The sequence below is a fragment of the Homo sapiens genome, chromosome 15, assembly GCF_000001405.40.
Source record: "Homo sapiens chromosome 15, GRCh38.p14 Primary Assembly".
In the NCBI taxonomy this organism is placed as follows: Eukaryota; Metazoa; Chordata; class Mammalia; order Primates; family Hominidae; genus Homo; species Homo sapiens.
In genome coordinates, this window is record NC_000015.10 from 67,622,366 (window position 1) to 67,638,615 (window position 16,250).

Here is a 16,250-nt window from a genome sequence, read left to right on the forward strand (position 1 = left end):
GACTGGAAGAAGCAGAGATCAGTGAGGTAACTAACCAGGGCCCAGATGTTGAAATCCTTATAAAGACTTTTAATTCAGCAGTTAGAAATCTACCCATGAAATGGAGATGAGTATAATAACTTCTACTCATAAGATTATGAAGTTAATGAATTAAATGCATGTGGATTTTTTTTTTTGTAAAACACTATCCAGGTGATTATTTTTTTCATCCAGAAGTAGTAATTTGTCAAACATTTATGAAGTGAGGAGCACCTACCATGGGCCAGGACATGTGCTAAGCATAAAGAATAGAAAGATGATTAAAACATGGCAGCGCTCACTGCCCAGTACTGGGGACAGACACATAAATACTTTTCTGTAGTGTGCCAAGGGCAATAATAGAGCATGTAACATTTGAAGAGTAGGAGAAGCATCAAAGTTTAACTTTATAGCGTTTATAAGAAAGTGTATGGGCTGGGCGTGGTGGCTTACGCCTGTAATCCCAGCACTTTGGGAGGTCGAGGCAGGTGGATCATGAGGTCAGGAGATTGAGACCATCCTGGCTAACACAGTGAAAGCCCATCTCTACTAAAAATACAAAAACAAAATTAGCCGGGCATGGTGGTGGGCGCCTGTAGTCCCAGCTACTCGGGAGGCTGAGGTGGGAGTATGGCGTGAACCCGGGATTTGGAGCTTGCAGTGAGCCAAGATCATGCCACTGCACTCCAGCCTGGGCGACAGAGCGAGACTCCGTCTCAAAAAAAAAGAAAGCATATTAAAGGGAGGTATATAGGTATTTTTAGGGTAGCTTATGCCTCATATTTTCCTGTTAACCCAAGGAGAATGAAAACTTGGCCTTCTCATGATTGTTTAGTGACGTTTCTGCTGAGATTAACACCTGAATGGCGTACTTACCACACCTATCTGTAGTGTGAATAAACTTATAGTAGTGGGCAAGAGATAAACATGGTAAGAAATCTAGAAGTTGGAACATGGTATATCCATACCAGATGGCTCTTTTAATTGTCTCCAAAGTTGGTTCAACATGAAGTAATACTACGTGTTTAAGTTTTTCTTAACAATAAATGATATATTGCAAACTTTTGCCAGTTCTTTGTTGTTAAAGCTTTATTAGAGGGTCATTTGTAGAGCATATAGTCTAACTAGCACGTAGAGACACTACTGCTCTTTAAGTCTGTTTTGGCAGCTTTCATTCTGAAATCACTCAGCCAGTTTGAAAACTTACTATCTTCCTTTTTTTTTTTTTTAGACGGAGTTTTGCTCTTGTTGTCCAGGAGGCTAGAGTGCAATGGTGTGATCTCGGCTCATCGTAACCTCCACCTCCTGGGTTCAAATGATTCTCCTGTCTCAGCCTCCTGAGTAGCTGGGATTACAGGCACCCACCACCACACTGGGCTAATTTTGTATTTTTAATAGAGACGGGGTTTCTCCATGTTGGTCAGGCTGGTCTCGAACTCCCAACCTCAGGTGATACGCCCACCTGGGCCTCCCAAAGTGCTGGGATTACAGGTGTGAGCCACCGCCCCCGGCTACTTCCTACCTTCCTAACATTTAATTCATTAGTCTTATCTCATTGGATCCTCACAACTCTATAAGGGAGAGACTGCTTTCCCTATTCCAGACTAGAGATAACTGAGACTTGGTGGGGCTTACTGACAGTCAGGTTCACATGTTTAAGACGTGGGAGAGCTAGGCCGGGCGCAGTGGCTCACACCTGTAATCCCAGCACTTTGGGAGGCCAAGGAGGGCTGATCACAAGGTCAGGAGATCGAGACCATCCTGGCTAACACAGTGAAACCCCGTCTCTACTAAAAATACAAAATATTAGCCAGGCGTGCTGGCGGGTACCTGTAGTCTTAGCTACTCGGGAGGCTGAGGCAGGAGAATGGTGTGAACCCGGGAAGCGGAGCTGGCAGTGAGCCGAGATCGCGCTGCTGCACTCCAGCCTGGGCGACAGAGCAAGACTCCGTCTCAAAAAAAAAAAAAAAAAAAAAGAAGTGGCACAGCTGGGATTTGAGCTGGCAGTGACTTCAGAGCCTGTCCCATTTGCTCTTCTGCCTCCCAGGATAGATTGGCACTGATTGCAGAATGCTTCCTTGCCTGGAGCAATTTGGATATAATGGTCTTTGGCCTGATTGAAATAGGTCAGTACCTTTGTAAGTTTTGAATTATATGTTTCCCTGCCCTAGAATACAGGTAAAAAAATTAAACATCACGATCTCTTTGTGTGTGTGTGTGTGTGTGTGTGTGTGTGTGTGTGTGTGTGTGTGTGTGAGTGTGTTTGACGGAGTTTCGCTCTTGTTTCCCAGGCTGGAGTGCAGTGGTGCAATCTCAGCTCATTGCACCGTCTGCCTCCTGGGTTCAAGCAATTCTCCTGCCTCAGCCTCCCGAGTAGCTGGGATTACAGGCATCCGCCACCAGGCCTGGTTAATTTTTTGTATTTTTAGTAGAGATGGGGTTTCACTATGTTGGCCAGGCTGGTCTTGAACTCCTGACCTCAGGTGATCCACCTGGCTTGGCCTCCCAAAGTGCTGGGATTACAGGCACGAGCCACTGTGCCCAGCCAAACATCACCATCTATTTCCTTTAGGTCCTAAAATATGCATATTCTGTCGCGGCTCGTCTTGGCTTTGCCACTGACTGTGTGAGCTTGGATAAGTTATTTAACCTGGCTTTTGGGTGCTTCTGCTGTGAAAGAAGGGGATTAGGTTAAATAATTTTCTCTGTTTTCTACTAGCTCAATAAATTATCTGATTCTGTACCAAGATTACAAGTTAAGACCAACTTCTTTGTCTGGTCATCTATAACCTATTGTTACAAATGAAATAAGAAAGTATGGATAGAAAGTATTCGCTTGCACTGGGCTCTTTGTTATTTTAAATATTTGAAAAACTTACACCAGGCGACTAACTTTTGCCATGGTAAAGTGTATGTGTGTGTGCTCAATTTTAAGGGCTGAGACTGTTCCCAGAAGGCCTGTGCTGGTCACAAACAAAATGGAACACTCAAGGACCAAGCACTAAAAATATCTCATAAAAATGCTTCCTCCATGCAGTCATTGAATCAGGTAATTACTGTGGCAACAACAAACTAATTTGAAGTGTTAGCTGTTAATTAAAACATTGCAGAGGTGTATAGTTGTCTTTTGGTGTAAGCAGAGCCTCCATTCAAACTTCATTAATCACTTTACAATTAATGTGTTGAGGAAGGTCAAGACAATTGAGATGTAGTATCTGTTGAAAGTAAACAAATTCCTTTTCTCTAAGTAAATACCATTTGGAAAGTTAAGGGACACACTCGACTCATGCCTGGCATTGCCTTTGTCATCCAGTTCTCCTTGATGATTAAATGTTAAATTGGTACTGTCATTGCACTGTAAACCAAACCACATAGCATCTTTATTCCTCGAAATCGAACCCAAACTTCCACGGATGAATTAGCGTGCATCATAATTAAATTATCAAGCCTCTCCTTTTAATTCACTTGGAAATAGGACACCTTTCTTTTAGAAAAGAGATCAGCTTTCTTGACAAGCTAATTAAGTTGCCAAACTGTCCAGTATGGTATGTATATTAGACTATCTGCTAATCATTTTCTTATCGCTGCTGCTGGTCTCAAACGTCCAGGTGTTGCTTATTCGAAGTAACAACACTGATCTTTTTACAACTTTTGAATCCTGTGTATATATTTAATTATTTGTCTTTATATTTCAGTTCTTGATTAGTGATTCGAATATATAATATTTTTAAAAGTTGGAATTGGAAGAATCTGTGATGTGGAGGGGGAAAAATAATATATCACAAAGTCTTACGTATTATGTTACTTGGATTTACGTGGAATAAACTTACTAATTTCCTTTAAATCACATTTCAGGCCAAGTGTGGTGGCTCACACCTGTAGTAGTCTCAGCAGTTTGGGAGGCCGAGGCTGGTAGATCACTTGAGGTCAGAAGTTTGAGACCAGCCTGGCCAACATGGTGAAACCTTGTCTCTATGAAAAATACAAAAAAAAATTAGCCAGGTGTGGTGGTGGGCTCCTGTAATCCCAGCTCCTTGGGAGGCTGAGGCAGGAGAATTGCTTGAACCTGGGTTTCGGAGGATGCAGTGAGCCGAGATTGTGCCACTGCACTCTAGTCTGGGCGACAGAGCAAGGCTCCATCTTAAACAAGCAAACAAACAAAAAACATAATATAGGGGATAGGGTTCCACTTATAAAATGTGTATCACTTTGTACAAAGTATAAAAAATTATTTTGCTGGCACAGTGGCTCATACCTGTAATCCCAGTGCTTTGGGAGGTCAAGGTGGGAGGATCGCTTGAGGCTTGGAGTTTGAGACCAACTTGGGCAACATGGCAAGACTTCATCTCTTAAAAACTTAAAAAAAATTAGCCAGGCATGGTGGTATACTCCTGTAGTACCAGCGGTTTGGGAGGCTGAGGTGGGAGGATCGCTTGAGCCCGGGAGTTCAAGGTCACAATGAACTAATAAGATCACAGCAGTGCACTCCAGCCTGGGAGACAGAATGAGACCTGTCTCTGAAGAAAATAATAATTGATTAAGTTTTATTATTATTTTCTATATCTTTGAGACAGAGTCTCGCTCTGTCACCCGGGCTGTAGTGGAGTGGTGAGATCATAGCTCACTGCAGCCTGACCTCCTGGACTCAAGCGACCCTCTTGCCTCAGCCTCCCTGTAGTCCCTACAGGGGGACTATAGAGGACTACAGGCACGCACCACGATGCCAGGTAATTATTTTATTTTTTTTAAAAGACAGTGTCTCCCTATGTTGCCCAGGCTGGTCTTGATCTCCTGGGTTCAAGTGATCCTCCTGCGTTGGCTTCCCAAAGTGCTGAGATTACAGGAATGAGCCACTGTGCCCAACCTGATTAAAGTTTTATAAGTAGTATTTAGAAATAACCAATGAGGTTGTTATTTGAGAATATCTTTAGACACTTTCAAAGGTTAAATAATTCTTTGGTAAAGTAAACAGTTGTCACCCGGTTTTTGTAATCTTGCTTTTTCTTTAAATGAAATATACTTGAATTTCTGTATAATTAATTGATATAATAAAAGTTAAGTTTACCTTCCATGACTGGCTTGACCTTTGTCCACTCAAGTAGGAAAAGCAAAATGAGTAAGTTCTTATAACACTCATATATTTGGATAAGTATATACATATGCTTTATATATGTAGTTTCCTAGTCTTGCCTGAATTTGTAACATTTTACTTGTAAACGATATTACAAATACCTATATGCTCTTAATAACTAAATCATTTCTATAAGTCAGTCACCTTCAAAAAACTCTTGTCAGTGATTGTTCAACTCTGTAAATTTACTAAAAAGTAGAATGTACCCTTAAAACAAGTGAATGTTATCATATGTAAATTATATCTCAATAAAGCTGTTAAAAAATTTTGTCAGTCCTTTCTGCTCGTGGACGCCACAGAGGAAACATCATTAAAGTCTCTGTTCTCCCTGCTGTCATGTCTAAGTCAGAGTCTCCTAAAGAGCCTGAACAGCTGAGGAAGCTCTTCATTGGAGGGCTGAACTTTGAAACAACCGATGAGAGCCTGAGGAGCCATTTTAAGCAATGGGGAACACTCACAGACTGTGGTAATGAGAGATCCAAGCACCAAGTGCTCCTGGGGCTTTGGGTTTGTCACATATGCCCCTGTGGAGGCAGTGGATGCAGCCATGAATGCAAGGCCACGCAAGGTGGACGGAAGAGCTGTGGGAACAAAGAGAGCTGTCTCAAGAGGAGATTCTCAAAGACCCGGTGCCCACTTAACTGTGAAAAAGATATTTGTTGGTGGCATTAAAGAAGATACTGAAGGCTGGGTGCAGTGGCCCATGCCTGTAATCCCAACACTTTGGGAGGCTGAGGTGGGCAGATCACGAGGTCAGGGATTTGAGACCAGCCTGGCCAACATGGTGAAACCCCGTCTCTACTAAAAATACAAAAATTAGCTGGTCGTGGTGGCAGGCACCTGTAATCCCAGCTACTCGGGAGGCTGAGGCAGGAGCATTGCTTGAACCCAGGAGGCAGTGGCTGTGGTGAGCCAAGATCGTGCCACTGCTCTCCAGCCTGGGCGACAGAGCGAGACTCCATCTAAAAAAAAATAAAAATAAAAAATAAAAAAAAGACACTGAGGAATATCACCTAAGAGATTATTTTGAATAATATGGAAAAATTGAAGTGATTGAAATCATGACTGACCAAGGCAGTGGCAAGAAAAGGGGCTTTGCCTTTATAACCTTTGACGACCATGACTCTGTGGATAAGACTGTCATTCAGAAATAACCATACTGTGAATGGCCACAACGGTGAAGTTAGGAAAGCCCTGTTAAAGCAAGAGATGGCTAATGCTTCAGCCAGCCAAAGAGGTCGAAGTGGCTCTGGAAACTTTGGTGGTGGTTGTGGAGGTGTTTTTAGTGGGAATGACAATTTTGGTCATGGACGAAACTTCAGTGGTCATGGTGGCTTTGATGGCAGCCGTGGTGATGGTGGATATGGCGGCAGTGGGGATGGATGGCTATAATGGATTTAGTAATAATGGAAGCAATTTTGGAGGTGGTGGAAGCTACAATGATTTTGGCAATTTCAACAATCAGTCTTCAAATTTCAGACCCGTGAAGGGAGGAAACTTTGGAGGCAGAAGCTCTGGCCCCTATGGTGGTGGAGGCCAATACTTTGCCAAACCATGAAACCAAGGTGGCCATGGCGGTTCCAGTAGCAGCAGTAGCTACGGCAGTGGCAGAAGATTTTAATTATTGCCAGGAAACAAAGCGTAGCAAAAGAGGAGAGCTAGAGAAGTGACGGGGAAGCTACAGGTTACAACAGATTTGTGAACTCAGCCAAGCACGGTGGTGGCAGGGCCTAGCTGCTACAAAGAAGACATGTTTTAGACAAATACTCATGTGAATGGGCAAAAACTTGAGGACTGTATTTGTCTAATTGTATAACAGGTTATTTTAGTTCCTGTTCCATGGAAAGTTTAAAGCATTCCAACAAAGTGATCTAATGTAGATTTTTTTTTTTGCACCATGCTGTTGATTGCTAAATGCAATAGTCTGATCATGATGCTGAATAAATGTCTTTTTTAAAAAAATATTTGTCAGAGCAACCAAATTTTCTGCTAAACAGCAGAAAATGATGTTTCCATGTTGGCAGTAGTGGATTATGTAAATTTTGGTTTTATTTTTGTTTTAAGAAAGGGGAAGTTTAGGGGCTCATTAAATATGTTTTACAACTGGGCAGGTGAAGATGAGGAATTCCTGAGGCACTGACTTCTGTTCCCCATTTTCCCTATGCCATTCCTATCCTAACACTTACCAGATGAGAGGAAGAGCCGTCTGATCTTAGCTAGTGTATAAAATCCTCTATAGGGCAAGATTTTTAGTTCTTCGAAACTTACTTACTTCCTTATATTAATATTTTTATGGGCTTGCAATAACAATGCTTGTTTATGTTATGTGGTTTATTTTGAAATTTTTATTGTATAAAAATGTGTTGCAGATTGCTTCTAAATAATGTTCAGAATATCTAGTCCCCACAGTATATGTGTAAAGGCCACATTTCATTTAAACATAAAAGGTACGGTGGCTCACTCCTGTAATCCTAGCACTTTCGTAGACTGAGGTGGGAGCATCACTTGAGGCCAGCAGTTCCAGGCCAGCCTGAGCAACATCCAGAGACCCTGTCTCTACAAAAAAAAGTAAAAAGTAGCATGGTGGCATGTGCCTATAGTCCTAGCTACTCAGGAGGCTGAAGTGAGAGGATCGCTTGAGCTGAGGAGTTTGAGGCTGCAGTGATCTGTGATTATGCCACTGTGTTCCAGCCTAGGTGTCAGAGAGAGCCCCTGTCTGAATCAGTCAGTCACTCAATCAGATAAACACAAAAGGTCTTGATGGATAGTAATGGTATTTCATTTCTGTAAACCCTATTCTCATTCTTTTTCATAAATGGATACATTTATATTTATTGATTTAAGTTGTAGTTATTTCACTATATCTGTTACTTTGAGCTTGTTTTGATGAACTGTTATGATATAGTTTATCTGCATGTGTAATTAAAAAAATAAGCAAAAAAAATGGGAAAAAAAAAGCAAAATGGCTCTGTACACTGCTTAACATAGAGCTATAGAGAACCCACATGCACAGTGACAGTCATAAGGGATCTGGAGCCAAAAGACCTAGGTTTGAGGTCTCATTCTGCTGCTAGTTACTTTGTGCCATTGGGCAAACTGTTTAACTTCTCTGTGCTTCAGAATTCTCATCTATAAAAGGAGGATAATAATGTATCAGTATTACCTCAGATAGTTATTTTAAGGTAATGTATAGTAAATCACTTTGTAAACCATTAAGCTCCATATAAATGTAAATTACTAATGTTGTTAGTGTTCTTTGAAAGTACCATGTATCCCACTGCTGCAGAAATGTTTGGATTTACATTTATGTCCTTAACCATTTTGTAGGTTGTTTAGTGATCCCAAATGATTTTGTTTTTTTTTCTTCCCATAGAGCATATCATGTCCCGAGTGGGAAAATATTAGCTGTAAAGGTAAGTACTGGATACATTTTATGAAATTCTTGATGTTCACCTCTTTCCTTTCCTCTGTTAGCTTGAGTCACAGATATTGTCAAAGAGGAGATGAAATGGCTTAAGGTTTAGATGGTAGGTAGGGGAAGCTGTGGCTCTCTGGTGACATTCAGACACCTGAAGATCTTTTAAGTATGCCTTAAAATAGTCAGTTGTAAGCTCCGTGTATTGTGATTCTTCTTGCCAAGAAGAGAAAATTTCTTTCTGTGTCCCCTGCTAAGTGGCATCACCATCTTCCTTGTCATGCAGCTCAAAACCTTACTGGTAATGTATTCCTTTTCCTTCTTTAAATATGCCACATCCTGTGAATTGCTGTATCCCGTTAGAATTTTTCCCTGAAATATATCCATTTGCTACTTTCTTTCTATTCCCATCCCCATTGCCATGGTCTTGGATCGGGCTCACATTACCTCCTACCTGGACTTTTGAAATAACTTCCTCACTGTACTTTCGGTCTTTTCTTTTCCTATGCACCTTTTACTCTGCCACAGATTTGAGAAGTCAAATCACAGATCTGACCGTGTCTTGCTGACTGCCTTCCTCAATCATGTACAACGTAAAGCCTAAGATGTCTGCTTTGCTTCTGACTCCCTCGGCATACTGAAATACCCAAGCACAACACCTGCCAATAGAGTCAGGCTACACACAACTCAGGGATGTTCCAGGCAGTTACCTAGGATGCTCCTCACTTGTTCCCATGCAATTCATAATTCATACTTCATCTCTGCCAAACTCCAGCATCCCAGTCCTGCCATGCCACTTTGGATTTAATCTCTGCCACTGCTGGCGCTTGATCTTCCCATCATCTTAAATCTCAGATTTCCTTAATGGACTCTGTCTTGAATTGCGCTTCTGACTGAACCCTTTGCTAATTAAGTCCTAACCCCACAGAACCCCATTTCCAATTTTGGGCTCTTAGCTAACAAACTGGTCAGGCTTGCCTTGCCCCCAACCTTCCCCACAAATTGTTCAGACCCTCTACATATTGGCCCCCACCTACCTTTATAAACATGCACTCTGCTTTACCAATCTGTTACTTCCCGTCATGCCCTTTATCTCCAGTCTCCTGGCCTTTAGTAATGAAAGTTCTTATTTTTTGAGTGACTACTATATGCCAAGTATTATGCTAGATTTTTTTTTTTTTTTTGATTGAGACAGGGTCTTGCTCTGTCATCCAGGCTGGAGTGCAGTGGCGTGATCTAGGCTCACTACAGCCTCCACCTCACAGGTCCAAGAGATCCTCCTACTTCAGCCCCTTGAGTGGTTGGACCAGAGGTGTGCATCACCATGCCTTGCTAATTTTCTTTATTTTTTGTAGAGACAGGGTTTCACTATGTTTCCCAAGCTGGTCATGAACTCCTGGGCTTAAGCGATCCTCCTGTCTCAGCCACCCGAAGTCCTGGGATTATAGGCATGAGCCACCACGCCCAGCTATGCTAGATGTTTTATAACTATTATATTTAATCCTTAAAATTACATAGTAAGCCTGTCTACTTTAGATTAGGAGACTGAAACTCAGAAAGCTGAATTGTCAAAGATCACAGAGTTGGAAGGGGTAAGGCCAGGATGTGAAATGTTCATCTGCCTCCAAAGCTCATCTCCTCTGTTACACCATGCAGCTTTTATACAACTTACTAACATTGCTCATCCCTCTGATCTTCATCTATCTTTTCATGGTTCATCTCCAATATGCCTTTTTAGCTATCCACAGTGAGAAATTGATCTCTTTCTCTAACAGTTGCATAGTATATATTTCTGCATCTTTTTTCTCATCTAGAAAACTAAGAATCAGAGCAATTACATTAGAATTGCTTATACCTTTTAGTAAGTTGAAACCAAAACTAAGGCTCAGATCCTCTGACTGCTAATGAAATCCAGAGTTCTTCTTCCATATCACATCTAGTACAGCACCTAGAATGTGTTACGTGGCATTATCAAGTTTAGTTTTAATAAGTTAAATAGCTTGTGAGGGGGTACAACAGAGCTTCCTTTGAGATATTTTCTTTGACAGTTCAGCCATTTAGGGTCCATAGAATTGTAGAACTGGAAGAGACCTTGGAGATCACCTGTTACAGCCCCCACATTTTACAGAGGCACTGAGCTCACTGAATGCAGCTGTGTCATACCACCTTGGTGCTCACCGAGCGCGGCCCAGTCGTACCACCTTGGTTCTCACTGAGTGTGGCTCTGTTGTACACCTTGGCATTGGTTTAACCTTTCTGTACCTCCTGAGCTCCCTTTTCACTAAGAGAAAACTTCCACTAAAACTTGAGCACTATTTTCCCATCCATTGAGTTACTTTTTTGTTCCTTTTATGTCAGAAGTCTTAGATTGTTGCTGATGATATATTTAAAGATAGCCAACTCTAGGTTATTTACTCCAGGAGAGGGGAACACTGTTATAAATCGTCTAGAAATCTATGATTATTTGGCCTTGCAAAGTACATTATACATTTTTCGTAATTTCATACATTTTGAATTATGTTTATATAGACTAATATTAAAAGTATTGTGCATTAGTTGGGTGTGGCAAGGGGCCAACAGCTTTTTCTGGAAAAGAGTAAAAGCAATTTTAAAGAAAGGACATATTTACAGAATAGCTGTTAGGAAAGTAGAGACTGTCAGTAAATGAAAATAGTTGGGATTTACAAATATACTGTTCACTAGACCTGATCATTAAACTGGGCTTTACAACAAGAACTGTACTGTATTCACTTTGTATCTCTAGATTCTATAAAATATAGTAGATACTCACACTGAATTGAATGAATGGATGATTTAAGAGCAGATATGATTATTGTGATTAAACATTTGTGTAGCCCTGAGCTTGTTGGTAGTTTAGGCAAAAACCATGTAACTTGTATAATAGTCATAATCTAAGAAAAATTTACCATTTCTTCAAAACAGGCAGAATTTTTAATTCTTAGAAGTGTGTTATTTAGTTTCCAAATATTTGGAGATTTTCCATCTTTCTATTACTGATTTCTGATTTAATTCCATTGTGGTTCCAGAACACCCTTCCTATAACTTAAATTGTTTTAAATTTGTTGAGACTTATATTATGGCTCAGAATATGACCTATTTTGGTAAACAGTCCTTGTACACATGAAAAGAATGTATAGCCTGCTTGTGCCTGTAATCCCAGCACTTTGGGAGGCTGAGGTAGGTGGATGACTTGAGCTCAGGAGTACGAGACCAGCCTGGGAAACGTGGCAAAACCCTGTCTCTACAAAAAATAAAAAATAAAAAATAAATTAGCTGGGCATGGTGGTGTGTGCCTGTAGTCCCAGCTACTTGGGAGGCTAAGGTGGGAGGATCGCTGAGCTGAGGAAGTTGAGACTTCAGTGAGCCATGATTGCACCACTGCATTCTAGTCTGGGTGACAGAGTAAGACCTCATCTCAAAAAAAAAAAAAAAAAAAAAAAAAAAAAAAAAAAAAAAAAAGAATGTATAATCCACTGTATAGGGTATTGTATAATGTCAATTAGATCAAGTTGGCTGATAGTGTTATTCAGATATTTGTTATTAGATATTTGATTTTTATCTAGTACTATCAATTACTGAAAGAGGGGTGTTGAAATACTCAACAATAATTGTGGCCTACAGTTCTGTTATTTTTTACTTAATGTTTTTTGAAGATATATTCTTAGGTGCATTTATGTTTGTTATGTCCTCTTGATAAATCGGCCTCATTGACATTATGAAGTAACCTTCTTTGTCTGTGATCATATTCTTTGCTCTGAAATTTATAGTCTGATATTAAATTCTAGGCTTCATTTTGACAAGTGTTAGCATGATATTTTTTTTTTTACTTTTAACCTATTGTGTCATTATTTTTGAAATGTATTTCATGTAGGCAGCATACAGTTGGGTCTTATTTTTTAATCCAGTTGGATGATCTCTGCTTTTTAAGTGAGAGTATTGAGACTATTTACATTTCATATGATTATTGATATGTTTGGATTCAAATCTGTCATTTTGCTCTTTGTTTTCTATTTGTTCTGCCTGTATGCCCCCTTTTTTAAGTGATTGCTTTAGAATTCATAACTTAACATAGTCTTCCTATGTAAATAGTATTGTACCACTTTATAGTCTACAAATCTTACAGTGGTGTATTTTCATTTCCCTCATCCCAGCCTTTGTTTTATTATCATCCATTTTACATCATCATATGCGATAAACCCCAAAATGCATTGTCACTACTTTTGCTTTAGATATTTATCTTTTTTTTTTTTTTTGAGACAGAGTCTCGCTCTGTCGCCTAGGCTGGAGTGCAGTGGTGCGATCTCGGCTCCGCCTCCTGGGTTCACACCATTCTTCTGCCTCAGCCTCCCGAGTAGCTGGGACTACAGGCGCCTGCCACCACGCCCGGCTAATTTTTTTCTACTTTTAGTAGAGATGGGGTTTCACCATGTTAGGCAGGATGGTCTCGAACTCCTGACCTTGTGATCTGCCCACCTCGGCCTCCCAAAGTGCAGGGATTACAGGTGTGAGTCACCGTGCCCGGCCTGGAAATATTTATCTTTTAAAGACATTTAAAAAGTAAGAAAAATAGTATTCTATTTTTATTCCTGTATTTACCAATGCCAGTGCTCTTCATTCCTTTGTGTGGTTCAGATTTCCATCTAGTAGTATTTTCCTTCTGTCTGAATGACTTCTTCCTTTACATTTCATATAGTGTGGGTCTTTTGGTATTCTTTCAGCTTTTGTATGTCTAAAAATGTATATTTCACTTTCATTTTTGGGAGGCATTTTAATTTTTGCTAAATGTAGAATTCTAGGTTGGCTGCTGTTTTCTTTCAGTTTTTTAAAGATTTTGTTTCACTGTTTTCTTTCTTTCCAGTGAGAAGTTTACTGTCATTTTAAATCTTTGTTCCTCTGTATATTAGAATTGGCTTCATTCTGGCTGCTTTCAAGACTTTTTCTTTATCACTGGTATTGAGCTGGTGTTTACATCTTTAATGTCTCTACTTAACATGTTTAAAACTTCCTCTGCTTTCTTTTTTTTTGTTTTTATAAATAAAGATGGGGTTTTGCCACATTGTCCAGGCTTGTCTTGAATTCATGGGCTCAAGCAATCCACCCGCCTCCACCTATCAAAGTGCTGGGATTACAGGTGTGAGCCAGGGCACCTGGCCTCCTCTGCTTTCTTGAAAGTATGAAATGACCGGGCGCCGTGGCTCATGCCTGTAATCCCAGCACTTTGAAAGGCTGAGGTGGGCGGATCATGAGGTCAGGAGATCGAGACCATCCTAACACGGTGAAACCCCATTTCTACTAAAAATACAAAAAATTAGCTGGCCGTGGTGTCGGGCGCTTGTAGTCCCAGCTACTCAGGAGGCTGAAGCAGGAGAATGGCGTGAACCTGGGAAGTGGAGCTTGCAGTGAGCCAAGATTGCGCCACTGCACTCCAGCCTGGGCAACAGAATAAGACTCCGTCTCAAAAAAAAAAAAAAAGTATGAAATATAGTTATAATAACTGAATTAGTGGCCTTATCTATTTATTCCATCATATGTGTCATATCTGGATCAGTTTTGACTGATTCCTCTTCTCCTCACTTTGGGTTGTATTTTTCACTTTTTTTTCATATCTTATAATTTTTTTTAAGTGAAAAGCAAGTTTATTAAGAAAGTAAAGGAATAAGAGAATAGCTACTCTGCTTGAGCAGAGCAGCTATGCCTTATAATTTTTTATTGGATACCAGACATGTGGCATGGGTGCTATTTTTGCTCTGCTATAAATATTTTTGAACTTTATTCTGAGATTGTGGTGGGTAATATTGAGTGTTAACTCGATTGGGTTGAAGGATGCAAAGTATTGTTTCGGGGTGTGTCTGTGAAGGTGTTAATATTCAGAGAGATTAACATTTGAGTTAATGTTAACGTAAGAGATTAACATTTGAGTCAGTGGGCTGGGAGAGGCAGACCCACCTGCAATCTGGGTGGGCACCATCTAATCAGCTGCCAGTGTGGCTAGGATAAAAGCAGGCAGAAGTTGGAAGGACTTGACTTGCTGAGTCTTCCCGCCTTCATCTTTCTTCCATGCTGGATGCTTCCTGACCTTGAACATCAGACTCCAAGTTCTTCAGCTTTTGGACTCTTGGACCTACACCAGTGATTTGCCGGGGGCTTTCAGGCCTTCAGCTACAGACTGAAGGCTGCACTGTTGGCTTCCCTACTTTTGAGGTTTTCAGACTTGGACTGGCTTCCTTGCTCCTCAGCTTGCAGATGGCCTATTGTGGGACTTCACCTTGTCATCCTGTGAGTCAATACTCCTTAATAAATTCCCCTTCATATATACATCTATCCTATTAGTTCTGTCCCTCTAGAGAACCCTGACTAATACAGAGATGGTATTTAGTTACTTTTGAATAATTTGATTCTTTCAAGGCTTGCTTTTAAGTTTTATTAGACAGTACCAGCCCAGTGGTTAGTCTAGAACTAATTTTCCCCGTGCAGCAGAGGTAGTACTCTTCTGAGTACTCTACCTGGTGCCTTGCAAATTGCAAGGTTTTTCCACACTGACTGGTGGGAATACAAACTTTTCTTGCCCAGTATTAATCTGGAGATCGTTTCTTCTGAGCCTTTCTAGTGGTTCTCTCCCTGGCCTCAGGTGATCTCCTGACATCTATGTACAGATCATTCATTACTCAGCTGAAGACTCCAGGACCCCCTCGGCAGACCTCTGGAGCTCTCTCCCTCAGGTCCTCTGCCAGCTCTCTGCCCTCTGCTTCTCTAGCTTCCTTGGCCTCCTCAGACTCTCAGTTTTGTCTTCTCATCTTAGGGAGATGGCTTATCTCTGCCTGGTTTCCCCTCCCTGCACTGAGGCCTGGGAACTCTCTGGTCAGCAAGCTGGGCAATCATAGGGCTCATCTCATTTGTTTTCCATCTTTCAGGGATCACTGCCCCATTCTGGCTAATGTCCAATGTCTGGAAGCCTGTTGATGTGTGTGTGAGTGTGTGTGTATGTGTGTTTTAGTACCTCTTCCTTTCTTTTTTTTAATTTAACTTTTAACTTTTTTAACTTTTAATTTAACTTTTTTTAACTTTTTTTTACTTTTAATTTTTTAAAAATTAAAAAAGTTAATTTTTTTAACTTTTAATTTAACTTTTTTAATTTAACTTTTAAGGGGTACATGTGCAGGTTTGTTATATAAGTATACTTGTGCCATGGGGGTTTGTTGTACAGATTATTTTGTCACCCAGGTATTAAGCCTAGTACCTATTAGTTATTTTTCCTGATCATCTCCCCACTTCACCCTCCACCTTCTGATAGGCCACAGTGTGTGGTGTTTCCCTCTATGTGTCCATGTGTTCTCATAAGTTAGCTCCCACTTATAAGTGAGAACATGTGGTATTCGGTTTCCTGTTCTTGTGTTAGTTTGCTAAAGATGATGACCTCCAGCTCCATCCATGTTCCTGCAGAGGACATGATCTCATTGTTTTTTATGACTGCATAGTATTCCATGGTGTGTATGTACCACATTTTCTTTATCCAGTCTACCAGTGATGGGCATTTAGGTTGATTCCATGTCTTTGCTATTGCGAATAGTGCTGCAATGACCATTTGCATGCGTGTGTCTTTATAATAGAATGCTTTATATTCATTTGGGTATATACCCAGTAATGGGATTGCTGGGTCAAATGGTA

General features: G+C 40.6%; 1 protein-coding gene and 1 pseudogene across 8 annotated transcripts in view; both read left to right on the forward strand.

Annotated features, from left to right (window-relative positions):
* The window catches only part of MAP2K5 (mitogen-activated protein kinase kinase 5), a 264,412-nt gene that overhangs the window by 79,663 nt on the left and 168,499 nt on the right, over nucleotides 1-16,250 (forward strand). For all 8 annotated transcript variants that reach the window (XR_007064474.1, NM_145160.3, NM_002757.4 and 5 more), the window contains exon 9: nucleotides 8,523-8,562. Coding sequence is in view for 7 of the 8 variants with exons in the window: in NM_145160.3 (NP_660143.1) it covers nucleotides 8,523-8,562 (40 nt within the window). In the remaining variant the exon portion in view is untranslated. The remainder of the gene's footprint in view (nucleotides 1-8,522; nucleotides 8,563-16,250) is intronic.
* On the forward strand, nucleotides 5,416-7,104 carry HNRNPA1P5 (heterogeneous nuclear ribonucleoprotein A1 pseudogene 5; annotated as a pseudogene).